Source organism: Homo sapiens, chromosome 2 (assembly GCF_000001405.40).
Source record: "Homo sapiens chromosome 2, GRCh38.p14 Primary Assembly".
Taxonomy (NCBI): Eukaryota; Metazoa; Chordata; class Mammalia; order Primates; family Hominidae; genus Homo; species Homo sapiens.
This window is the reverse complement of record NC_000002.12, coordinates 238,394,269-238,420,976: the sequence shown is the minus strand read 5'-3', so window position 1 is coordinate 238,420,976 and position 26,708 is coordinate 238,394,269. Positions and strand designations below refer to the sequence as shown.

Genomic DNA, 26,708 nt, shown 5'->3' with positions numbered 1-26,708 from the left:
CTCTAAACCCTACACACTTCTGCCCCCTCCCCCAGCTGAGATCCCCTCTGTGGCTGGCATTTCTTAGTGGTGTGAAAAGGACATTTTTGAAAATGGAATCCTGTTTTCACCACTCTAAGGAAAGTCACAACTTCAAACTCTTTTCCAGTGGTTCCTGTTGTCCCTCGAAAACATCTGTTTGAGAACTAGGCGTTCTCTCCCAAACTGCTGGGATTGTTTTCTTAGGTTGCCCTTCCAATGTTAAAGTGTTTAACCCGCATACCATTACTGCATCACCTAACTTCGTTTGCAGGCCACTGCTCACTGTGTACATAACCAGCATCACAAGCACAGGGACTCAGGACCGGGCGCTTTCTAATCTCTTCAGTCTCTGGGTCTCCTGCTTCCAGGACAGGGCTGGAGCCAAGGACTCACTCTCAACTGACTGACTGACTGCGTGGCTGATGAAGGGAGGAGTGCATTTTTAAAAGGAGAGTAAGCTGTCCCCAATACACCAGTCTAAGAAATGACCTCTTTTCCTTTCTCTACGTAAACTTCATGTCCTTATTCACAGGCATATAAAATTACAAAATCATGGTGTAGACACACATTTACTCCCCGCTCTCCTTTCTGTCATGACCCTAATGATGCATTTACCTATACGGAATCCTCGGGCTCTCTCAGACACAAGCAAATACTTCTGATGGCAGAGAGAAAAGTCAAGACGTGGTAAGAAAATCAGTGTCCGGGAGCTACGGTTTCTATCGTGTGGGCGATTAGATGCCTGACGGCCCTCCTGATACAAACAGCTAAAATGCTGGAGAAAATGTAAAACGCATCTTGTTAGAGGCATCCTCAGGCTGCCATAGCGGCCAGAAGCAAAGAGAAGGCAGAAACCCTGACAGCTTAGTGGGTCTGAGCCAGCACTCATCTCAAACTGTGTGCTGAGAGCTTGAACTTCTACCTGGATGACTGCATAGGGTGCAGAAACCAATTTAGAGCAGGAGTCTCATACGAAATGCTTGCATAGAACTGGCACCCATAGAGTCCCACCCTCAGTGTAAAAAGTAACGAGAATAAGAACAACAACAAAAAATCCACAAATAACCTCATTTAAAACACAGGCAAAATGGCTGGACACAATGGCTCATGCCGGTAATCCCAGTGTTTTGGGAGGCCAAGGGGAGAGAATTGCTTGAGCTCAGGAGTTTGCAACCAGCCTGGGCATCCCAGCAAGACCCTGACCCTACCAAAAGAGAAAAAAATAGGCAGAAGACTTGAACAGACATTTGTCCAAAGAAGATACACCAATACCAATAAGCATTTGGAAAGATACTCAACATCTTTAATCTTTATGGACATATAAATCAAAACCATAATGCAATAGCATTTTGCATCCATTAGGATGGCTACTATTTAAGAAAAAAATAGAAAATAACAAGTGTTGGCAAAGATATGGAGAAATTGGAACCCTTGTGCACTATTGGTGGGAACTTAAAATGGTATAGGCACTATGGAAAATGGTATGGTGGTTCCTCAAAAAATTAAACAGAATTACCACGTGATCCAGCAATTCCACTTCTGAGTATATCCAAAAGAACTGAAAGCAGGGACGTAGACATTTGTACACCCATATCTATTTATAGCAGCATTATTCACAACAGCCAAAAGGTGGAAGCAACCCAAGCATCCATGAGTGGATGAATGGATCAACAAAATGTGGTATGTCCATAAAACAGAATATTCTTCAGGCTTCCAAAGGAAGGAAATCCTGTTACATGCTACAATGTGGGTGAATCCTGAAGACATCTATGCTATGCAAAATAATCCAGACACAAAAGGGCAGATGCTATATGATTTCACTCATGAGGTATCTAGAGTAGTCAAATTCATAAACAGAAAGAATGGCAATTCAGCCAGGGGTTGGGGGAGGGGAAATGGGGAGCTAGTGTTTAATGGGTATAGTTTCCATTTTTACAATGAAAACATTCTAGAGATCAGTTGCCCAACAATGTGAACACACTTGACACTACTGAAATATACACTTCAATGTGGTTAAGATGGTAAATTATATATTGCATGTATTTTATCACAATTAAAAAAAATTTTAAAGATAACATTGAGGAGGAGGTGGAGATAGAAGTAACAAGAACTAAAATACTGGCTCAGCAGAAAAGCCTGCTCATCTCAACCTTAGCCCAGGCCTGGGCCTCACATGAAGTTTAGATCAAAAATCCCACCGAAATTCACACTTTAGTGTTCTGAAAACTCTCAAGCAAAGAAGCTAAGTGACAGCAGTTCTAGGTTGATAGTGCCCCAAGCAACTGGCAGAAGCAAATATAGTTCCTTTCTAGAGACTACTTCAGCCTGGGCCTCAAAGAATTCCCACAGATCAAGTTCCAAGAAAAATAACCTCTCATTGGGGCAGAAATAGCAAAGTGCACACAGAAGGAGAGTCAGCAAAAGGGTCCTCCACAGGCTTCAAACACTGATGAGACACCGAATATGAAGCTACTGTCTATCCAACCAGTGCTGGCTTACTGAGCCCTGTTCAAGGAAGTGGACACAAAAGTGAGATAAACAGACAAAAGTCCCGGCTGCCATGGAGTTGACACACCTGTGCCCTGGAGACACACACAGGAGAAAGGCACAGGGAGTGCCAGGCTGGGGAGACAACACAGGAGAAGGGCGCAGGGAGTGCCAGGCTGGGGAGACACACACAGGAGAAGGGCGCAGGGAGTGCCAGGCTGGGGAGACACACACAGGAGAAGGGCGCAGGGAGTGCCAGGCTGGGGAGACACACACAGGAGAAGGGCGCAGGGAGTGCCAGGCTGGGGAGACACACACAGGAGAAGGGCGCGGGGAGTGCCAGGCTGGGGAGACACACACAGGAGAAGGGCGCGGGGAGTGCCAGGCTGGGGAGACACACACAGGAGAAGGGCGCGGGGAGTGCCAGGCTGGGGAGACACACACAGGAGAAGGGCGCGGGGAGTGCCAGGCTGGGGAGACACACACAGGAGAAGGGCACGGGGAGTGCCAGGCTGGGGAGACACACACAGGAGAAGGGCGCGGGGAGTGCCAGGCTGGGGAGACACACACAGGAGACGGGCGCGGGGAGTGCCAGGCTGGGGAGACACACACAGGAGAAGGGCGCGGGGAGTGCCAGGCTGGGGAGACACACACAGGAGAAGGGCGCGGGGAGTGCCAGGCTGGGGAGACACACACAGGAGAAGGGTGTAGGGAGTGCCAGGCTGGGGAGACACACGCAGGAGAAGGGCGCAGGGAGTGCCCAGTTGGGGAAGGTGTCAATTTCAACTTTAATGTTTAAGTAGTAAAGAGAAGCCTGAAAATGTGAACGAAGTTGGCATGCAACAAGATCATAAAAAAAAAAAAAGAAAATGTGAACAAGGGCCAAGAGACTTCACAGAAAGAACCAGTATATTTGAAAAAAAAATTAAACAGAACTTCTAAAATGAAATTAAAAACACAGTGGTCGAAAAAAACATACTAAACGGTTGCAGTGAAAAGTATATTAGATATGTCTAAAGAGGCAATTGGTTGTGGACTTAAAGACGGTGCTCAAGAAATCATCCTAGCCAGGCAAGGTGGCTCATACCTGTAATCCCAGAGACTCAAGAGGCTGAGGTGGGAGGATCGCTTGAGGCCAAGAGTTCAAGACCAGCCTGGGAAGCAGAATGAGACCCCATCTCTACAAAAAGAAAAAAAAAAAACTAGCCAGGCATGGTGGCATGTGCCTGTAGTCCTAGCTACTCAGGAGATTGAGGAGGGAGGATCACTTGAGCCCAGGAGGTTGAGGCTGCAGTGAGCTATGGTCCCACTATTGTACTCTGTCTGGCCTGGGTGACAGAGTGAGACCCCATCTCTAAAAAATAAATGAAATCTAAAAAATTTTAAAAAATCATCCCAACTATAGGACCAAGAGACAGAGATAGAAAAATATAGACAAGAAGTGAAGGACATGGTGGCTGGGGTAGGAGGGTCTAAGGAGCATCTACTCTGGAGTTCAAGAAGGGAATCAACAGAGAAGAGAGGAAGCAATATTAAAGGAGATAGGAATGAAATTTTTCCAGAGTTAGAAATCCAGGTATCTCAGTAAATCCCTAGCAAGATTTAAATAGAAGCACACTTCAATGCATGTTGAAGTCCTGAGGCTGCAGGACACCAAGGAAAAAGATTTAAAAAGCAGCCAGAGAAAGAGAGACCACATAGGAAACAAATGTAACTGAAAGCCGACTTCTCAACAGCATCAGTGGATGCCAGAATGCACTAGAATGACATCTTCAATGTGCTTTAAGAGATCAATTGTCATCCTAGAATTCTACACCCAGGGAAACTACCTTTCAGGTATGATGACAAAATAGACAAAGTTTATCACTAAAAGGCACTGTCTAAAAGATGGGTCTCTTGGTGGTCACCACCTGCCAGGAAGCAGATCTTAGATGATTTCCCAACAAAACACAGGATAGATTAAGGAATAAGCTTTATCAGGGAAGTGATAGCAGAAGGAGGTAGACAAATTCTTAGGCAGACTGGGGGCAGGTCCCTAGTGAAACCCCACCTTCAAACCAAAGACAGTTTAAAGCCCAAAAGCCAAGCTACCAGTCTTGGATAAGTCCACGGACCGGATTGAGAACCTCTCTTCCCATTTGGCGCACTTTCCTCTGATTGATCCCCACGCTTCACCTATTTTACATATACCTACCCTTCCCTAATTGGTTTTTTACACTGTCATGCCCACCTTTGAATTGTGCCTTTGTTTTAGCCTTTTTTGGATACTCACAAACCAATAAATAACACATCCCGATTCTGAGCCCATAAAAGCCCCAAACCCAGCCACACTGACAGAGAGACCACATGACTTCTGGTGGGAGACCATCCTTGAATCCCATCTCTGCTGAGAGCTGTTTCATCATTCAGTAAAACTGTTCTCCGCCCTTCTCACCCTTCACTTGTCAGTGTAATCTCATTCTTCTTGGATGTGGGACAAGCACTCAGGACCTCGCTGAACTCGGGTACAAAGACGGCAGTAACACTGTAGCCCTCTACCCTCCCCACCCATGATCAATGCCTAGCAGTTGCACCACACCAACAGGAAGCAGCGACAGGGCTGGGTGAGCCCCAGAGCCATGGGCTGGAGCAGGGCAACAGGACTGACAGAGATGTTAATATACCCCTGTTTGTTGGGCTGTGGCAGGCCTAAAAGACCTGTTAGCCCATGTAGTGTGACCTCTGGGGCTTCAAGGTTGCAGCCCTCCCTGTTTCGATGCCACCGCATTCTCCTCATCTGGACACTAGAGTTCACTGCAGGAGCTTGCAACATGCCTGGTCCAGCCACAAGCCCCACACAGAGCCCCTCCTGTGCCAGTGCTGGACCCCACACTCACTTGCCCACACACACCCTCCAGCCGGGGGCTGAGCACTCAGTCATGGTGGCCATGGGGTCTGCACTGGTGTGCAAGCCAGATGCGGCCCAGTGGACTGAGTGGGTAGGGTGCCTCCTGTGGCAAACCTGGGGCCGAGCAAGGCCCGGGCAGAGGTGTGGCTGACCAGAGGTCTCCAGCTGGCAAAGCAGCCCAGAAAAATCCTGCATCAGAAGCTTACATGGGCAAGTGGCAGCAAGAGACACAAAAGCAGGGAGCCTGCAACCCCAACCTCGCCTCGTTCTGCTCACACAGAGACAGCTCACCTTTCAGGGAGAAGCACCGGCCCCTGTTGCTACCCTTCTGAGGCAAACAGGAAGTGACCTATTAGGAGGGGGATGACTTGCTGAGGCAGCAGCAGTTGGGACCTGGGTGCCAGCTGTTTTCATTGCTGAGAAAACCAGCTGCCCCACACCTGAGCCCCACGGGATGTCGAGCTTGCATCACTCCCCCCCCACTGAAAGAAGGCAGGCTGAGTGGGGGCAGCGGTGGTTTTAACCTACTCTTTATCCAGGCCACCCTGAGTGAGCTTCTAGGGCTAGTTACAGACAATTCTGCTTGTTGTATCCTGTATCCCTTAAAGGAAATTCTAAAGGATCAACTTTAGAAAGATGGAAAAGGATCCCAGATAGAGAGTATTTGATGCAAGAAGGAATGATAAATGTACCCCATAAATATATGTACCTATTATATACCCATAAAAATTAAAAGAAATGATGAGCAGATATTGGTAAGTAGGTAGATAAATTTTAACAAACCTTGGCTGCCTAAACAATAGAGTGTTTAATTTGTGAATTTAAAAACAGGATAAAATGGAAACACTGGACAATATAGCATATAAATTGGGATTGTCCTTGTATTATTTGAAGAAAGCTAAAGAAATTAAGCTTAGACTTTGTAAACTACCAGTGTTAAAGTAGCTACTGTAACTATTAAAATAACAGTCATATAATGTACAAACTCCAAACTAGACAGGTCTAGGAAAAATAAGAGGATTTTGTCTCCCAAAGAAGTCCAGAAAAATGAGGTTGAGGAAAAACAAAAAGTGGGAAAAATAGCACTTAATAAGATAGTATAATAAATCCAAATGTGATAAACTCTCCAGGTAAAAACAAAGACTACTGACTCAATGTTTCTTTCTTTTTTTTTTTGAGACAAGGTCTCTCTCTGTCACCCATGCTGGAGTGCAGTGGCACGATCTCAGCTCATTGCAACCTCTGCACCCCTGGCCCCCTCCCATACCCACTCCCACCTTGGGCTCAAGCAATCCTCCCACCTCAGCCTCCAGAGTAGCTGGGACCGCACAGGCATGTACCACCACCCCAGCTATTGTATTTTGTGTGTGTGTGTGTGTGTGTGTGTGTGTGTGTGTGTGTGGTGTGTATATTTTTAGTAGTGATGGGGTGTTGCCATGTTGCCCAAGCTGGTCTCAAACTCCTGAGATCAAGCAATCCACCTGTCTCAGCCTCCCAAAGTGCTGAGATTACAGGCATGAGTCACCACACCTGGCCCTGACTCAACGTTTATAAAAGACACAGTTAAAATATAAGAATTCTGAAAGATTTAAAGGATGGAAAAATATATGAGCCAGAAAAAACTACGAGGAGAAATAAATTGTTCATCGTAGTACTCGGGAAACTTTAAAACACCTCTCTCATTAAATGGTGAATCCAATAGAAAAAACATCTATTAGCATATCGATTTGAACAAAATGGTTACAAGCTCGACAGAATGGGCATATATAGATACAACACCGTGCCCAACCATGTGAAGGTACAGGTCCTTTTCAAAATTATAGGGACCATGAAAATAGCACATGTTAGTGAGGATATGGAGAAACTGCAACTTTTGTACATTGCTAGTGGGAATGCAAAGTACTGGAGCCACTATGGAAAACAGTATACCAGTTCCTGAAAAGATTAAATCTAAAATGACCACGCAATCCAGCAATTCTACTTCTGAGCATACACCCAGAAGAACTGAAAACAGGATCTCAAAGGATATTTGCATATCCATATTCATAGCAGCATTATTCAAATAGCTGAAAGGTAGAAACAACCCAAGCATTTACTGATGGATGAATGGATACATAAAATGTGGTATATACATACAATGGAATATTATTCTCTGCCTTAAAACAGAAGGAAATGCTGACCCGTGCTACAACATGATGAACCTTGAGGACATTATGCTTAGTGAAACAAGCCAGTCACAAAAAAGATAAATACTATATGATTCTATTCATAAGAGGTTCCTAGAGCAGTTAGATTCATAAACACAGAAAGTAGAATGGTGGGTGCCAGGGGCTGGGGGTAGGGGGAATGGGAAGTTACTGTTTAGTGGATACAGAACTTTAGTTTTGGAAGGTGAAAAAGTTCTAGGGATCAGCTGCACAACAGTATGAATGTACTTAATGCCATTGACCTATACACTTAAAAAATGGTTAAGATGGTAGTCCAGGCAGGGTGGCTCACGCCTGTAATCTCAGCACTTTGGGAGGCCGAGGTGGGTGGATTACCTGAGGTCAGGAGTTCGAGACCAGCCTGGCCAACATGACAAAACCCTGTCTCTACTAAAAATACAAAAAAATTAACCAGGTGTGGTGGTGCACGCCTGTAGTCCCAGCTACTCGGGAGGCTGAGGCATGAGAATCACTTGAACCTGGGAGGTGGAGGTTACAGTGAGCCAACATCGTGCCACTGCACTCCAGCCTGGGCAACAGAGTGAGACTCTGTCTCAAAAAAAAGGTTATTTTTGTTATGTGTATTTTATAGTAAAAAATATAATGATATGTCAAAATATTATTTTTTTAATTATATGAAATGCTTCATAAATTTTGTGCTATCCTTGCCCAGGGGCCATGCTAATCTTCTCTGTATCATTCCAATTTTAGTACAGCGAGCAGGAAATGCTATTTGTTAAGCCCAATAAAGTAATTAAGTTGTGAAAAAAATATATAGCGCTTTTATGAAAGTGACCACGTGCTGGGCCATCAGGGCAGCCTCCACACCGTTCAAAGCACCGGTATTGGGCAGGCCACATTCTCTCCCCAAGATGCAATCAAATCAGAAATCAATAAAAAAAAGATAACCCAGGAGAAAAAACCAGAAGCAAGTATTTCATAACGCACTAAAGAATAAATCATTATAGAAATGAGAAAATATACGCAACTGAACTACAATAAGGTGCCCATTCAATGAAACTTAAAATCATGGTTAAGAGAACATCAGTTAGTGACAGGGAAGAAATGTAGTAAAATTGTTTACGGGAAATAAAAAGAAGTCAACATTACGTAACACTGTAAGCAGCATAGTCCCAATGGTATAAACGGGTGCTTCTGTGTATGTTATACGGACAACAGATTGTAATAGACAAGACTGTAAAACACACAGACACACACACACACACACGATGAGAAAATGAATACATACTAGCAACTAGCATTATAAATTGTGGTCAATTTTGGAAGGTGGGATTTACAAGTGATGTTTATTTACTTCTTCGTGTGGTTTTCTAGATGAATTAATATGAATTCGGTTATCAGAAAGGAAAACAATAAAGGTAACTAAGATAACAGCAGCAGAGGCTTGGGAAACACAAGCCCCCAGGGCCCACCTCTTGTCCTCCTAGTGCTGCTGCAGGACTGACGCCCATCACACGAACACAATAAACCACAGGACACTGGGTGCCCACGGAAAGACACCAGAGACCCCCCCGATCCTGCCTTCCCCGGTGAGGCATGCCACCCGGCAGGACCCTGGGTAGGGGCAGCCTGGGTTCTGTACCTAGATTCGCCAAGGCCAGTTCTGATCTGTCTGCAAGGCCTCTCACTCTCCTTCCCCTATCCCCCGCCCCCGTTCTCAGGCTCTTTGCTGGTTCTGGAGCCCCCAGCTGAAGGTGTTGGACCCCTGAGAACACCTCAATACCCAGTTCCCTGGAGCCCGCTGAACCGAGGGGAGGAAGGCCACATCCAAAGCCCCTAAATGTGCCTGTTCACAAAAACAGAGCCTGAAGGAGCTGTAAACACAGAGGCTGTTTGATGGGGAAGCAGGACAGGTGTAGTCATTTGGAAAGCAACCAACATACCTTCCATCCACAGCCCCAGCCCAGCCTTCCCAGATCCAGGGAACCGGCTATTTACACGGGCTTGGGGACTCAGGGAGAAGTGTAACTTGAAGAACCTGTCGTTAGGAGATGATCTTGGAAAGGAGGGCAAATCCCCAGCGACCCAGAGGATTTTCAGGGGCTGCTCTGGAGCGGAAGGTTTCACTTTTCCAGGGGCCTGAATTCCTTGACGCCCCCCACCTGCCCCACAGGGGTGAGGGCTAGAGCTTTCAACGGCACCTGTCGCAGCTCTCCAGTAGGAGAGGACCGAAACCAGAGACAGTGTCCTCCTCTTCTAGGAGGAGGGGAATTATAATTTTTTTTTTTTTTAAACAGAGTCTTGCTCTGTCACCCAGGCTGGAGTGCAGAGACATGATTTCGGCTCACTGCAACCTCCGCCTCCCGGGTTCAAGCGATTCTCCTGCCTCAGCCTCCCGAGTAGCTGGGATTGCCCACCACTACGCCCAGCTAATTTTTTGGTATTTTTAGTAGAGACGGGATTTCACCATGTTAGCCAGGCTGGTCTTGAACTCCTGACCTCAGGTGATCTGCCCGCCTTGGCTTCCCAAAGTGCTGGGATTACAGGTGTGAGCCACTGCACCCAGCTGGCTGTGACATTTACTTCATGTTTACCGAGCATTCCTTCCACTCACTTTCACGCTATCACTTTCTTAAAATTAGATAAACAACAAAACAAGTCAAGTCCTGACTTGTAGCATCTGTCAATTTCCGTGGTGTAAATACTCTTGCCTTCAGCGAATGTGAATTCACCCAACTTGGAGTTAGAAGAGATGCACAATCGCACATACACCCCAGGATTTCCCCCTGAGGTCCAAGATATAAATCACCTCAGGGCATGGACACAAGGAAAATGTAAAAAATTAGTTTTCCATATTCCTTACCTTTGTATTTTAATGTAATGGCTCGTAACATTCCTGAATGTCTCTCACTGTACAGCCAGCCCCAGCCCACGAGTGCCCCTTGTGCCCTGTTCCTGGTGCCCAGGCACTCACCATGCCAGCCAGTAGCAGAAGGCTTTGGGGGTTGGAGAGGAGAGTGGGTAAGCATGGCCTGGAGGCCACCATGCAGCCATGGACGTGCCCCACTAGCTGCGTCCTGCCAGGCTCATCTTGGAGGTTACAGGGACCTTAATTCAGCCCAACTCACCCCAGAGGCCACTCTGCTCTTTATATAAATCACAACCTTTTTCATTTCACTGCTAGGGAGTCCAAGTATTTTACCACCACAAATGGATGTTTTGGCAGGTGTAAAAATAGGGAAAATATAGAAATAAACGGGTGTGCAGTTTTACTGGCAATGGGAGAGAGCCCTCGTGGAGGAATAAAGGCCTGGCTCACAAGCTCACAAGCCTCGCCCATGTGACTATGCTCTGAACAGGGGCTGAGAAGCAACCACAGCTCAAGGGGCGTCTGAGAGGAGAGCTTCCCTGCACAGCGCCGCGGGCTGCAAGATCCAGGTCGACGTGCTGACGGAAGGTTTTGATTTTGCAACTATCGAACGAGATTAATGCTTAAAATCCATGGTTTAAGAGATATTATTTGAAAGTTCTATTTTTAAAAGCATCCTGGTGTTTGTATTGAAACTGTCCCAAAGACGCTTTTCTTTAGAGCCATAATCCCTGGAAATGGAAAACCCACCAGAAGAATGAGAGCTTGCTCCTCTCCCCGGGCGCATGCTGGGCTGGAGAGTAGAATGAGGTCAGCTTCGCGGTGGGTCCAAGCCACACGGGGGATGGCTGCGAGTCCAAGCGACCGGCCAAGGTTCGGGGCTGCATTATGACTTTCAGGAGCCCCTCCTCCATAAAAAATATTAAAAATTCTATTTTACGATGGCATTGATGTAAAGATGAATATATTAATATTGTATATTAAAACATTGACTTTGACCTAAAAGTTCATTTTTTTCTTCTGATTATGAAAGAAATGAAAACACTTTCGAGGGCTGTGGAAAGCGCCGCGGGTGCTGGCGCCACGCCTGCTGGGCTTAATGGGTCTGGCCGCCCTGCGGACACTCCCACAATGAGCGGCTGCACCCTCGGGGCAGGATGGGCCAAGTAACAAGATCTTGGTTCAGGTGCATGGTTTGGGGCGGGCGGTGGCCATGCAGCCCAGTGGAACTGTTTAGAGCAGGAACGCCTCTCTTATTCTGCCCTCTCAAGCATCCTCACTCACTCACACATCAGCCAAAAAAGTGGTCACGCTAATCTCAACTCAGCAACCTGCCCTTTCTTAGCTGTGTGCTCACGCAGATGACAGAACACTCAAGCAGAAAAATCCCAGGGACAGGCAGGCCATGCTCTCCTGAACTGCTCCCTGGGGTCCCGGGCCAGCCATGTGCTCAGCCAACGCAGCCAGACCCCTAAATCCCAAAGGACATCGTGCCAGGGACCGAGAGCTGGCAGGGACTGTACCTTGCTCTCTGAGCTTCGGTTTCCTCATCTGTGGGTTGGCTATGGCCTGACTCCCAGCCCCGGGGAGGCTCACTTGAGAAAGTAGGCGCCAAAGTTCTTCCTCAACAACCGCCCGCCAGGAGGCTTTTCTTTCTTCCCTGCAGCTCCAACAAAACAGCAGAGGGACTTCCCCGACAGAGGGAATTTCAAGTCCTGAGGTGCCAAGCCCTGGAACACTGCAGGGCAGCTGCGGCCAACACAGGCGGCCAGTGTCAGGCACACAGTCACAGAGGGTAACTTTGCCCAGGGTTTGAATAAAATTTTTGGAAGACCCCCAATTCTGAAGGGGTCTTACACAGCCTCCTTGAAAGTGAAGTATGAAAACTGGCAAATGTAGTCTGTTCTCAAAGAGGGGCAGGCCGCTGAAGGCTGCCTGCAAGGTGGTCTCGTGTCCTTGCACCGTGGGGAACCTCCCCAAAAGGTGGTTTCTATTCAAAAGGGAATGATGATATTCATTCCCCAGCTTGAAGAAGGACAAGTTGGGGGCCGGACAGGACTCCCTGGGCAAACATTGAGCAGTGAGGGGGCGCTGGAGACTTCAGAGGCCTTCCAAGGGTTGGGGGATAGGGGCAGGCAGGAACTGCAGCCCAGGCTCCATCTGCCTGGGGGCTCCTGAAGGTCATGTCTGCCAAGGCCTGAAGCCTACGTGGGTGCTGACGTGTTGATGCAGTTGGTAGAAAGTGCAATGGGGGTGTGGAGATCTTGCCTGCTTGCACGCCTCCTGTGACGAGGAGCTCACCATCTACCTGATGAGGGGCTGTCCTGTCATCTTTGAACCCTGTTGGAACGGAGGCTCCCTCCTTACACAGAGCCAAAATCAGTCTCCCTTTGTCTCCCACCCATAGGTTCCAGCGCCACAGAGAACAGGCTCAACCCTCCCTCCACCCCAGACCTGTTATTTCAAGATAGGGGGCCATGTCCCTGCTCCAGCTTTTTCTTGTGCCAGCAAAATATTTCTAAATTTGAGAAGTACTTCCAAAATGTCCTCCAGAAGTCTCACACAATTTACACCCCCACATCTTCAGCCACTCCAAATACTATCAATTTTTAAATTTTTGGCAATCGAAAGATGTGTGCAACTGTGATATTAACCTACATTACACAGATCACAAACCAGAGCCAGGGTCCGCCTGGAGCGCACCGTGTGCTGTGTGCTGAGGGCTGCCCTTCGCACTTTCCACCTAATGCTGCACGTATGCTCTGATGACAAGGTGAGGCCAGCACTCTTGAATCCAACCAAGCAGGTGGGAGAGGGAGGCCGGAGTCAGGCCACCTGCCTAAGCCAACAGCCAAGGCCAAGGGCGTGGCAGTGCCTGCGCCGCTGGGAAGCCCAGGTAACTCCTCTTCCAGTCTGGATTCCCAAATCTCTGCCACCTTCTCTCTCGACAGCAAAGTTGGTTTCTCATGCTTTGTGATTATTTGATTGCCTATTTATTCCTTTCTTCTATCGTTCAGTTGGGCTGTTTCTCTTATTAAAAAGTCTGTCTTTAAACAGAGTTTAAAATACATTGCAAGTTTATCCCAATGTGTTGTTTTTTACTTTTGCTTGGAATACAGAAAGTTTCACTTTTTAATGGAGCAAAGTGTCCGTTTTTTTTTTCATCTGTGGCTTCTGGAAATTGTGTCCTTTTAAGGAAGTTCTTCAGCCCAAAAAGTATTTAGCACTAGCATCCTAGGCTGGGCTGCAGGAGGGCAGGGTCCCTCTCACCCCAGGTCCCCTGGACAGGGAGACAGAAGGGCCTGGGAGGTTTCACTACTGCGCGTCCCCACATCAGAATTGGACACAGACACCACCCAGTCCTCTTGGGAGTCTAGTCCTGTGGAGGGTCCCTCACTGCCTCACCTGAAGCCTCTCCCTCCTCCTCCTCCTCCTCGGGCTGTCCCTCGGCCCAAGGTGCAGGGGAAGCTGGCCCTAGGCACCCTCTCCCCACAGCCGTCGGCCCCGCCTGTCCTCACTGGTTGGTCTGGCAGACGGTGGGCAGCCTGGGGAAGCATCTGCAGCAGCACCGCCAATTTCTTTCTGCTCAAGTCAGAAGGATTTTATGCACTTTATGAAAATAAAACAAATGCTTCCCAGAACTGTCAGGGCCCATTAGCTCTAAAGGGTCACATGCCCGGCTTTGAAACCACAAATTTCTAGCAGGCGCTTCTCTCATCCCAATGCCACTACCTAGGAGGCCCAACCCCCCTCCCAAGAGGCCAAGCCCCCGACCCACAGGCCTGAGCCCCCCACCCCACCAGAGGCCGAGGCCGAGGCAAACTTGCCCATCCCTGAGGTTCGTCCGTCCTCAGGGGTGGGGCCTGGGCTCTCATTTCCTCATGAGTCCTCAGCTTAGGCTGCTGTATCCGTCCCTCATGGGAACATGCTAATAGCAAGCTATCCAAACACGGCGGAGGCATTTCTCAATGTCACTGTGTCTTTATGGCACATTTCAGCCATCAGCTTCTCTGCCTAGGAGATGTAAGACCATCCACCAAGACAGGGCCACAGGCAGCTGGTCCTGAAGGGTCGGAGCTGAGCAGGAGCCCCCAGGCCCCGCCAGCCAACCGCCGAGGTGAGGGACAGCACAGCACACACTGCCAGCGCACCGCACACCAACAATCACCAGGCACCCATGAGCCACGTGTGCTCCCCGTGGCTAAGATGACCTGTCAGTGGACAACTGAGGCTCAAAGGAGAGACAGATAGGAGCACCCCAAATCACACATCCACGCCTGACAGGAAGGTGTCCTGACCCACACTCTGTGTTCTTCCACACCACCTCAAGAATGGGCAAAATTTACCCTGCAGGGGCGCGGTTTGGCAGGGGAGAGGAATGAAGCCCAAAAGGTGAAAGAAGGCCTGAAGCTATGCCCACCACCCACAAAACTGGGCAGGGGAGGAGGGGTCTAGCCACAACCCCAGAAGGCCGGTGGTGGGACGGGAGGCCTGGCAGTCAGGGCCTATGCTGTGGGCTCCGCGGGGCACACACACTGTGGTTCTCGCCTCAGCTACTTCCTGTTCAAGCTTGAACCCCACGCAGATCTGCCACTTACTGTTGATAATAAACCTTGTTTGTGCTTCAGAAACAATGCAGCATGATCCATGAACAAGATACAGAGGCCAGGGGTGAAAAGCGAGGCACCGCTTTGGGCCAGACTTTCAAAGTCAATCTGTGTCAAGGGCCTCTCAACCCAGTTTGGGTTAAGACCTAGGAAACACCTTCAGAAGTAGTAAGCAGCGACTTCAGAATTTAAACTCTGGGGTTTTTTTTTTTTTTTTTTTTTTTTTTTGAGACAGAGTCTCACTCTGTCACCCAGGCTGGAGTGCAGTGTCGTGATCTCAGCTCACTGCAACCTCTGCCTCCTGGGTTCAAGCGATTCTCCTTCCTCAGCCTCCCAAGCAGCTGGGATTACAGGTGCGTGCCACCATACCTGGCTAATTTTTGTATTTTTAGTAGAGACGGGGTTATACCATGTTGGCCAGGCTGGTCTCAAACTCCTGATCTCAGGTGATCTGCCCACCTCAGCCTCCCAAAGTGCAGGGATTACAGGTGTGAGCCACCGTGCCTGGCTGGAGTTTCTTTAGATGAAAAACAGCTGGACAAACCTAAGGACAGACAGCCAGCTGCCAGAGGGGGCAGGGGAGTGCAGGCCAACCTGGGGAGCAAAGCTCAGTGGGGCGGCTGCAGGACAAGTGTGCTCCAGGAGAGAGAACGCAAAGCCCCCAGGGCCTCAACAGGGGTCAGCTGCCTCCCCAAGGCTGTTTCCACAAAACCTCTCAGGAAAGACTGGAGAAAGTTTGAAGTGTCCCTTGCTGTGCACACCTGAGAAAGACCCTTCTTCCCTATGGGCCCTGTCTCCTACTCCCTTCCCAGCTCCAGCGGGTTTCCCCATTCCCTAAGACTGTCAGGCTTCTCACCTGCCCCTGAACGGTGTCTTCTGTCCCAGAGGGGAGAAGTTTCCAACGGTAGTCATTGCTGGAGGGCACAGAACTACTGCTGGAATCTTCTCCCCTTTGGGACAGAAAATACGGTGCAGGGGCAGCTGAGAAACCTGTCAGCCTTAGGGCACTGGGGGAACCCCTGTAGCTGGGAAGGAATAGGAGACCCTGACTCCTGGGGGAGGGGCAGGAATGCAAGCTGGTTCCAGAGCTACAGCCAAGACCCAGGGACACGGTGTCCACCTAAGACTGGGGTTAATCAAGCAACAGAGTATGCCCCCAACCCAGCTACAGCCAAGACCCAGGGACACGGTGTCTACCTAAGACTGGGGTTAATCAAACAACAGAGTAATGCCCTCAACCCCCCTGCCGGCTGACAAGCACCGGGCAGCAAGAAACAGTGGATTCACGCATGTGCGGCAGAACTACTCAGCATGAGGGAGGAACAGCCCGACTGAGCACGCAAGACTTCATCTATGAACGCAGGATATTTTCATGTTGGGTAATCGAGAATAGCACATTACTAAGCCAAAGGAGACAAAATGCGATCACAAGAACAATTCAACATCCATTCCTGCTAGAGGTTCTCTGTAACCAGGATCAGAAGAGTCTGTTTTTAACACGAGAAAACAGCCGTCGCCATCGTTCCTGGCAGCATCGGACCAATTATAAAATCACAAGGACTGTCCTTCGTATTTGTCCAGCATCGCACTGGGGCAAGGAAGCTATAGCACAGTCAAAAGGCAATCTGGGAATAATATGAACTCAAAACACGAAGTGCTTCTAGAAATCCAGGAGGGAAAACCAAGAGTCCAACAGAACAAAGGGCAAATGAGCAGCTGAACAGTCAGCTCACAGAACAGAAAAGCAAACAAGCAAATGACCCTTAAACACATCAAGAGAGGCTACAACTCAGTCAAAATGCGAAAGTGTAAATGAAAACATGCTGAGATCCTCTTTCTCGCCTGAGCAGTGGAAATGTCTACGTGTGGCCATCCGCCGCTGGAAGGCTGCAGGGAAAAGACACTTCCACATATTTTCTGGTGCAGGAACATGGAACCATCCCACAAACAGCATCTGGCAACACCCACCAATATGGCGACACACTGTGCTTTGACCCTGCAGTCTCACTTCCGGGTATCTCTCCACACAGAAGAAATGATGGGAGAACAAAGCTATTCGCGGCGGCATTGCTTTTAATGGCGGAAGACTAGAAACCACGCGACTGAGCACCAGGGAGCCAGCAGGAGAAGCCAGGCAGCCGCAGGGGGAGATCCACGCAGCCTGGAGAGAAGTGAGGACGGTGTCTAGGGTGGACACTCTGAGGTCCCCAGACTGCATAAATCCGAAAAGCCAAGGTTCAGAACAGGGTATAGACTATGACCTTTTGTGAAACTGTATGTTGCAGGGGTATAAAAGTAAATATTCTTATCTGCTTGTACAAGGGTCTAATGCAAATGGCTGCCTACAGGGGCAAGGAGAAGCAAGGCAGACAGGGACCACGGGAGGGGACCTCTCACAGAGGACCCTTTCAGCTAACCGTGATTGTGGATCCATGCTAATATATTACCTCTTCCATTAAAAGTCCTTTAAATAAGAAGAAATGAATACTTTAGGAATATGAATTAGTTATGCCAACATGAATACCTGGCACGACTAAGGGTGATATTGATACATGATTGACAGTAAGGATAATTTTCTTTAAAAACTTACACATAGCACTATCCACAAAGTGTCATGCCTGGCTGCTGGAGAACATAAATCAGACCCTACCATCGGTGTGCCCAGTGGGGCAGGGCCAGCCCAGCCTTGTTCCACAAGCATCTCCTGGAATCACATGGCTCTGGGTGCCCGGCTTCATCAGAAGACACCCAGAGGTTTCTATGGTGCTTTCGCCAACACCACACGCCCACCAATCTGGACACACACATTTGACTGCATTCATTTACAAGGATGTGATTCTGCCCTGACTGACCAGAGTACAACCTTCTTGTAATATGTGTAATTTAACTTTCTTTTGAACTCCATTTTCTTAACAGAAAGACCAATTTGCTTGGTTTAAGAAACTGATAACCAATTTGGAATTCAGCTCTATATATGGATTTAAAAACAAGTTTTATGTATTATTATTATTATTATTATTATTATTATTATTATTATTATTTTAGAGTGGGTCTTGCTCTGTCACCCAGCCTGGCATGCAGTGGCATGACTATGACTCACTGCAGCCTCAACCTCCTAGGCTCAAGTGATCCTTCCATCTCAGCCTCCTGAGTAACCGGGACTACTGGCACACACCACCATGCCCGGCTTTTTTGTTTATTTTGATGGGGTCTCACTCACTATGTTGCCAGGGCTGGTCGCGAACTCCTGGGCTCAAGTGAGTCTCACGTCTCGGCCTCCCAAAATACTGGGATTACAGGCATGAGCCACCACGGCTGGCCAAAACAAGTTTTATAGTTTTTGTTTTTGTTTTTTTTTTTTTTGAGACAGAGTCTCACTCTTTTACACAGGCTGGAGTACAGTGGCACAATCTCGGCTCACTGCAACCTCTGCCTCCCTGGTTCAAGCAATTCTTCTGCCTCAGCCTCCCAAGTAGCTGGGATTACAGGCACCCACCACCACGCCTGGCTAATTTTTTTTATTTTTAGCAGAGACAGGGTTTCACCATGTTGGCCAGGCTGGTCTCGAACTCCTGACCTCAGGTGATCTGCCTGCCTTGGCCTCCCAAAGTGCTGGGATTACAGGCGTGAGCCACCACACCCGGTCAAGTTCTACAGCTTTAAAAGACATTTAAATTTCTCTTGCTGAATTTAAAAGAAACCAAAGTCCCTCCCAATATCCCTTTATGAAAATACACATAATCAAAAAGGGGTTCTGACTAGGGGGCTTCACTAATGCCCCAATGTAAAGCTTGCATAAACCATACTTATTGAAACACCTTTTAGGAAAATATAAAACATTTTTATTAATAAAGTGTATCCTATGATAGAGTTAAACTCAGAGCCCAAATGTAGCAAGTAGTTACATTTGAGAATCACTGAGAACAGCTATTCCTTCTCCTCCGACTTAGGCTGGCTCATGCTTGACTTAGAATTTTTCTTACTTCTGCTTTGCTACATTAGTCTTTGCTGGAGAGCCCCTCAGAGGAGCCCACAGTGGTCTACGTAGAGGCGCCATGAACAAGGTTATTTACTCTCTGCACTTTCGGGTGTGGAAAGAAGAGTCCAGAGTGGGGAGCCAAGTCCAGGTCTGGGTGTTTAGTGTCTTCCCTGACGGTGACATGCTGAGCCTTGATCCTGCTTGGGCGTGGCCTCCTTCTGAAGCAGGTTCCTGCGGAAGCTCAAACAGGCTGCTCATCCTGCTTGCTGCTGGCTCACACTGGCTACTGATCCCAAAGCTGCTCAAAGGCCCTGGCCATCTTTTCTCTTACTCGTGTGCCATGACACTGTGCACATCGACCAACAGAAGATAAACCCCATCAGTCCAGGGCAGCTCAGAAGACTAGCACCGGAATAGTTCGGGGGCACTCGTTAATACACTGACTAGAATTCCATATCACCCAAATCCTAAGTAGCACTTCATGTCACCAAGTGACATCATTTTTCTTCATAGATTTCAGTTTTTAAAAGTTGATTATTAAAAAGAAAAATAAGGATGAATATCAAAGTAGAAAGCTGCATTTTAGTCTTGAACTATTTCTTCCAAAGGTCTATTATGCATTTCCTTTGAATATAAATTATCATCAGCTCAACTTTTAAATTCAAATTCCTGAAGTATGACTCCAGTACTCCCTGAAAACTTATAAACCAAAGTATAGAAAAATACTTAATAATCCCATTTGTGTATTGTCTCAAAATAAGAGAAAAATTAAATTTCTCAAATTAAGATCAGGATCTAGTGTGTAGGATAAGATACAGTAACAATCACGTGTAGAGACCTTCTAAAACTTCACAAATGATCTTACAATTTCTGATAAATGCTTACCTATCTTATAAAACTTCAATTCATACTGAAAAGAGATGTGTCACAATATGAATGAAAAGATGTATTTCCCTGAACTTTCCTCACGAGAAAAACAAAACACACACATTTGAAAATAAAAAATCCAAATGCTTATGATTTTTCCATGTGTGAATCGAACTGCACAATCCATACACTTATGGAAAAAATATGTGATTATTTTTAATGATTTACGTATAAAAGAAAAATAAACTTTATGATACAATTTGACAGACTACTTCATAAAAAATTTTACTTACATACAATGTATGCAATTTTTGGCAACCCCCAAACTCTATTCACATATACAAATTCATAAAAGGCAGACATCTCAACTTGAAGTAAAACAAGGTCCATTCAGGGTCATGGCTAAGTCATTTGATTCAGTAGAAAAGAGATTATAAATACATGAAGGGCTACTTAACTCATGTCCCTCCACTCCCCCAAAATGTATGTAATATAATCTGATCAAACAGAATTTTATGGTGCACTATAGGAAGGAGAAAAAGACCAGCGTTTCAGAATGGCAGATCTTAATAATCTGCTCCTGAACTTATTCAGCTCAGAAAATCATATAACAACCTGAGTACAGAATTTATTTTGGAAATTGTATGAAGAAAAACCCAACGGTGCCATTTGTGCTAATCCTTAAAGAAACAAAACCTGGCCGGGTGCAGTGGCTCATGCCTGTAATCCCAGCACTTTGGGAGGCCGAGGCAGGCGGATCACGAGGTCAGGAGGTGGAGACCATCCTGGTCAACACGGTGAAACCCCATCTCTACTGAAAATACAAAAATTAGCTGGGCATGGTGGCGTGCGCCTGTAGTCCCAGTTACTCAGGAGGCTGAGGCAGGAGAATCACTTGAACTCGGGAGGCGGTGGTTGCAGTGAGCCGAGATTGCGCCACTGCACTCCAGCCTGGGCGACAGAGTAAGACTCCATCTCAAAAAAAAAAAAAAAAGAAAGAAACAAAACCTTTTCAGGCAATCCTCACACTTTAAATGGCACTCCTCAGTTTACATAATAAATACACTATTTAAAAGTATTAGGACCCAGACCTCAAGACCCATAAGTATGTCTTCAAACACAATGAAATGTTTTATACAGTAACTTAAGACTCTGCTAAGTATTTACAATAGTATATGTAAGTGAAAAACTATAAACCATGTTTTTAAAAAACTTTTGCTTTAAAAAACAATTTCCAAAAAAATGGCTAACATCAAAAAACGTCGTAAATCAGTGCATCCTTTTAAGTCTTCCTTATGTTGTTTTTCCTAAGCTGCCTGTCTCTCGGTATGCACACCCATGCAAAGGAAAAGCCATGGCGCCAATGCTTTGCAGAGCGAGACCCTCTTAAGGAGAACAAGGACTCCGGGGGGCTGCGCTAGCCTCTGTCTGAGGAAAACCAGGGTAAACTGCGGAAGAAAGTGAGGATGTATGTCCAGACAACGTCCATAAAGGCCATCCTGAAATCTCCTTTTTAAATTTATGAACTTTAAGGACTAGAAACACAAGCAAACGATAGTAGAGATCAAGAGGAAAATTACATAGAGAAGTACATGCAATTACAAAGAGGTCAAAAAACAAAAATGAAAACAATCCAGTTGATAGGTACCTGATATGGAGACAGGCTGAGGTTAGCCCTTTCCATTGGAAATTAACTAAAAATATAATGTATTCATTTTCAGGCCTCATTCTACTTATCAAGTGCCTATCAAAAAGTACACAGTCATCCTTCATTCGGCACTGACCTCTGAAAGTCTTTCCACTAAACCAAAATAAAGGACTACTGTTCCCTTGGTATGCCCACACCACTTACCTGCTAGAGAGTTCTGGTACAGAACTAAACAGGTTACAGCAGAAACACAAAGAACAGGCTTTCAAAAAAACTTTTCACAGAGGTGTTTGGAAGCGCTATTTATAACTAGCCAGTATTCCATCTGGAAGGAGGTAAGAAAACATGGTTTTTTTAATACACTTAACATGCTTACAGTTTTAAAGCTCTGAAAATTAGCTGGATAATAACATTGTAAACTGTTCATTTTCTTAGCAAACTGGAACTTAAAAGAGTAATGATTTTCTATCTTCCTTTTTGCTTTTAAACTGAGGTGACTTTTCATCTCTGAAACTTTTGAGTGTTCACCTTCTCGAAGTCAAATTGATACTATATACCATTTTCTGGATTTTTTCTTCATTCTTGAGGATGTTGGCCTTCACAGCACAGATCTTGTCTTGCTGGTCTTTGATCAGCTGCTCCAGCTCCGCGAGCTCAGCCTTTAAGGGCTCCACGGCACAGTCTGTGATCCTGAGGGAGAACAAAACCAGCGGCTCATCACTCTCTCATCTCATTGTGTGTTGGCTTCTTAATTAAGACATTGAAAGACAACAGAAGTAAATTATTCGTTTCATCCAAAGAAAAGGATAATATTTATTTCTTATTTTCACAACCCCTGCTACAACCAAAAGTGAAGTCAAACATGAGATTTATAAAAGCAGCAGTTAATATTTCTTCAATGATAATCTTGAAGTCCTTAAATTACATACAGAACAACCTCTGGGACAAGGAGGTATGCAGCAAAGTCCCCATTGACTTTGGGGATCCCCCCTCCACTACCCCCCACCTATGTTCCTGCCGCAGGGCCTCTTCCCCATTACTGCCCCACTCCGCTACACCCCTACCTCTGCTCCTGCTGCAGGGCCCCCTCCCCATTACCCTCCTGCCCCACCCCAACCTGTTCCTGCTGCAGGGCCTCCTCCCCCATTACTCCCCCCACTCCGCTATCCCCTACCTGTGCTCCTGCTGCAGGGCCCCCTCCCCATTACTCCCTGCCTCTGCTACCCTTAACCTCTGCTCCTGCTGCAGGCCTCCTCCCATTATCCCCCTGCTCCCCCCCACCTCTCTCCTGCTGCAGGGCCCCTCCCCATTATCTTCCCCTCACCTCTGCTCCTGCTGCAGGGCCCCCTCCCCATTACTTCCCCTCACCTCTGCTCCTGCTGCAGGCCCCCCTCCCCATTACTTCCCCTCACCTCTGCTCCTGCTGCAGGGCCCCCTCCCCATTACTTCCCCTCACCTCTGCTCCTGCTGCAGGGCCCCCTCCCCATTACTACACCCCACCTCAGCTCCTGCTGCAGGGCCCCCTCCCCATTACTACACCCCACCTCTGCTCCTGCTGCAGGGCCCCCTCCCCATTACTACCCCTCACCTCTGCTCCTGCTGCAGGGCCCCCTCCCCATTACTACCCCTCACCTCTGCTCCTGCTGCAGGGCCCCCTCCCCATTACTACCCCCCACCTCTGCTCCTGCTGCAGGGCCCCCTCCCCATTACTACCCCCCACCTCTGCTCCTGCTGCAGGGCCCCCTCCCCATTACTACCCCCCACCTCTGCTCCTGCTGCAGGGCCTCGGCGTGCTGCCTGTTCTCGCTGTGCCACATCTGCAGCTCATTCTGCATGGCATCCACGTCTTCCTGGATGTAGTCCATGATCTTCCCCAGGGGAAGTGCGCTCTTGCACAGGGTCTGGATGGACGTGCGGAGCTTCTCTATCTCCTTGGAAACGATGTCCTTCTCCTTCTTCCATGCCGACTCAAAGAGAGATCGCTCCTACAGTCAGGGAGACATAGGAAGAGGAACACGCCTCCTCAGTCCAAAGGCAGAACAGGGCCGGTGCACTCAGCACACGGCCATGGGGCTGGGAGGAAAGGCGCAGGCAGAGACAGTGCTGGTTGTGGGACACTCACTCCCATGCAAAGGGAGAGCCATGCTGCCTAACAGAGTAACTCTGAAGTGCTGCACGCCATCAGAGGACACAGCACTGCCAGGGAGGGGCCGCTCCTTCCCTGCTCAATGGGGATGGGGGTCTGTCTTTACCTGGAAATCCATCTGAGGGCAAATCTCTATACAGGCAGATTTCAGTTCCCAACTAACAAGCAACTTTTGTAGCTATTGTTACAAGAGCTTAGTGACATGGAAGATTTTTCCCAAATGGACTGGCAGAATGAGGGCCTGACCCTACAGCTCTTCAAATGGCCCACCTTCCATCCCAAATGACTTCAAAACCCAGCTTGCCAGGGGGCAAGGGGAAAGAAACCCAAAGGAGAGGCAGAAACTGGTGCCATGGAAAGGAGGGCATGGAGAATGTGCAGGGCAGCCAGCGCCAGCAGCAGCCAGCAGCAGCCAGCAGCACCCAGCAGGCAGATGGTCAGGTCGACTTAGACGTGACTGTGCTGGCCGCTCAGGGAGGCCACAGAGTCCAGGGGTCAGGGGCCAGATGGAAGGGGTCAAGTTGAGACAGCAGCAGGTGAAGGAGGTGAGGAGGACGCAGAGACGAGTGGGGAGCTGCATGCGGTTTGGGCCAGGAGTTCTTGGGTTCTTTGCCATGCAACATTTAGAATTCTCTTCATATGAGCTTTGATCACAGACATCTCTGAATGTCAGAAACTGATGTGAGTTGATAAGAATCAATAAGCTTGGGAAAATTAACATCAGTTCTTTCTCCTTCTTTCCTTTTTTTTTTTAATTTTTTTATTATTATTATACTTTAAGTTTTAGGGTACATGTACACAATGTGCAGGTTTGTTACATATGTATACATGTGCCATGTTGGTGTGCTGCACCCATTAACTCGTCATTTAACATTAGGTATATCTCCTAATGCTATCCCTCCCCCCTCCCCCCACCCCACAACAGGCCCCGGATTGTGATGTTCCCCTTCCTGTGTCCATGTGTTCTCATTGTTCAATTCCCACCTATGAGTGAGAACATGCAGTGTTTGGTTTTTTGTCCTTGCGACAGTTTGCTGAGAATGATGGTTTCTAGTTTCATCCATGTCCCTACAAAGGACATGAACTCATCATTTTTAATGGCTGCATAGTATTCCATGGTGTATATATGCCACATTTTCTTAATCCAGTCTATCGTTGTTGGACATTTGGGTTGGTTCCAAGTCTTTGCTATTGTGAATAGTGCCGCAATAAACATACGTGTGCATGTATCTTTATAGCAGCATGATTTATAATCCTTTGGGTATATACCCAGTAATGGGATGGCTGGGTCAAATGGTATTTCTAGTTCTAGATCCCTGAGGAATCGCCACACTGACTTCCCCAATGGTTGAACTAGTTTACAGTCCCACCAACAGTGTAAAAGTGTTCCTATTTCTCCACATCCTCTCCAGCACCTGTTGTTTCCTGATTTTTTAATGATCGCCATTCTAACTGGTGTGAGATGGTATCTCATTGTGGTTTTGATTTGCATATCTCTGATGGCCAGTGATGATAAGCATTTTTTCATGTGTTTTTTGGCTGCGTAAATGTCTTCTTTTGAGAAGTGTGTGTTCATATCCTTTGCCCACTTTTTGATGGGGTTGTTTTTTTTTTGTAAATTTGTTTGAGTTCATTGTAGATTCTGGATATTAGCCCTTTGTCAGATGAGAAGGTTGCGAAAATTTTCTCTAATTTTGTAGGTTGCCTGTTCACCCTGATGGTAGTTTCTTTTGCTGTGCAGAAGCTCTTTAGTTTAATTAGATCCCATTTGTCAATTTTGGCTTTTGTTGCCATTGCTTTTGGTGTTTTAGACATGAAGTCCTTGCCCATGTCTATGTCCTGAATGGTATTGCCTAGGTTTTCTTCTAGGGTTTTTATGGTTTTAGGTCTAACATGTAGTCTTTAATCCATTTTGAATTGATTTTTGTATAAGGTGTAAGGAAGGGATCCAATTTCAGCTTTCTACATATGGCTAGCCAGTTTTCCCAGCACCATTTATTAAATAGGGAAACATTTCCCCATTGCTTGTTTTTGTCAGGTTTGTCAAAGATCAGATGGTTATCTTCTTCCCTTTCTTTCTTCTCTCTCTCTTTCTTTACAGCCAGGGTCTCACTATGTTGCCCAGGCTACTCTCAAACTCCTGGGCTCAAGTGATCCTCCTGCCTTGCCCTCCCAAAGCGCTGGGATTACAGATGTAAGCCATCATGCCCTGCAACACTGTTTCTTTAGGAAGCCCTCCCTGGACACCCCCCCACCCACTCCAGACCGGTAAGGGGCCCTTCCTTGCCTCACCCACTTACAGAATGAGCTAGTAAATGCACTCAGTTGTAACAAATCAACTTATTTAATTTGAACGTATCATAGCTACATATTCACTTGCATTACTTCTGCTAGTTTCAGACTGTGGGCTCAGGAGGGCAGGACCTTGTGCCTAGATTCACTGTGATTCACATAAGCTCTGCCTAAGAATTTGTGAAATGAACTAATGAAGTGGATAAATGATTTATGTATGAAGATCCTAGTTCCACCATTTACTGGCTTGGACAAGTACAAGAAAGCTTTAGCATAATGCCTGGCACATAGAAAGTGTTAAATAATTGGGACTTTAAGTAAAACGTAAAACTCATACAACTAATAAGTGAGTTCAGCAAGGTTGTAGTATACAAGATGAGCATATGAAAATCAACTATATTTCTATGTATGAGCAATGAAAACATGGACACTGCAATTAAAAATACAATGCCATTGACAATTGTTCAATAGAAGACTATCCTTAGTTGTAAATCTAACAAAACATGTATAGGACTTGGAAATGGAAAACGAAACAATGCAGATGAAAGAAATCAAAGGAAATCTAAATAAATGAGAAGACACACTGTGTCCATGGAATGGAAGACAGGACACAGTAAAGACATGAATTTTCCCCAAACCGATACGCATGTTTAATGCAAATCCTACCAAACTTGCAGCCAATGTTTTTGTATAGACAAGATTATCCTAAAATGTATACAGAAAGGCAAAGGAACTAC

General features: G+C 46.9%; 1 protein-coding gene and 1 pseudogene across 11 annotated transcripts in view, besides 2 other annotated features; both read right to left on the bottom strand.

Annotated features, from left to right (window-relative positions):
- Positions 8,236-8,315, bottom strand: RNU6-234P (RNA, U6 small nuclear 234, pseudogene; annotated as a pseudogene).
- Positions 10,148-10,679: an enhancer, noted in NCBI's record as "H3K4me1 hESC enhancer chr2:239318939-239319470 (GRCh37/hg19 assembly coordinates)". NCBI's record gives its function as "activates a minimal SCP1, AML or CMV promoter by ChIP-STARR-seq in naive H9 embryonic stem cells {active_cell/tissue: H9 hESC(naive)}" and the evidence as "EXISTENCE:reporter gene assay evidence [ECO:0000049][PMID:30033119]".
- Positions 11,214-11,746: an enhancer, noted in NCBI's record as "H3K4me1 hESC enhancer chr2:239317872-239318404 (GRCh37/hg19 assembly coordinates)". NCBI's record gives its function as "activates a minimal SCP1, AML or CMV promoter by ChIP-STARR-seq in naive H9 embryonic stem cells {active_cell/tissue: H9 hESC(naive)}" and the evidence as "EXISTENCE:reporter gene assay evidence [ECO:0000049][PMID:30033119]".
- The window catches only part of TRAF3IP1 (TRAF3 interacting protein 1), an 80,383-nt gene continuing 73,751 nt past the window's right edge, over positions 20,077-26,708 (bottom strand). For 9 of the 11 annotated variants that reach the window (XM_011510944.3, XM_017003789.2, XM_011510945.3 and 6 more), the window contains 2 exons: positions 23,298-23,518; positions 20,077-22,223 (listed from right to left, as the gene is read on the bottom strand). In XM_011510944.3, coding sequence (XP_011509246.1) covers positions 22,058-22,223; positions 23,298-23,518 — 387 coding nt within the window. In that variant the 3' untranslated portion in view covers positions 20,077-22,057. Of the gene's footprint in view, positions 22,224-23,297; positions 23,519-26,708 lie in introns of those variants that run through there. The other 2 variants (NM_015650.4, XR_922902.3) reach the window with 2 other exon arrangements.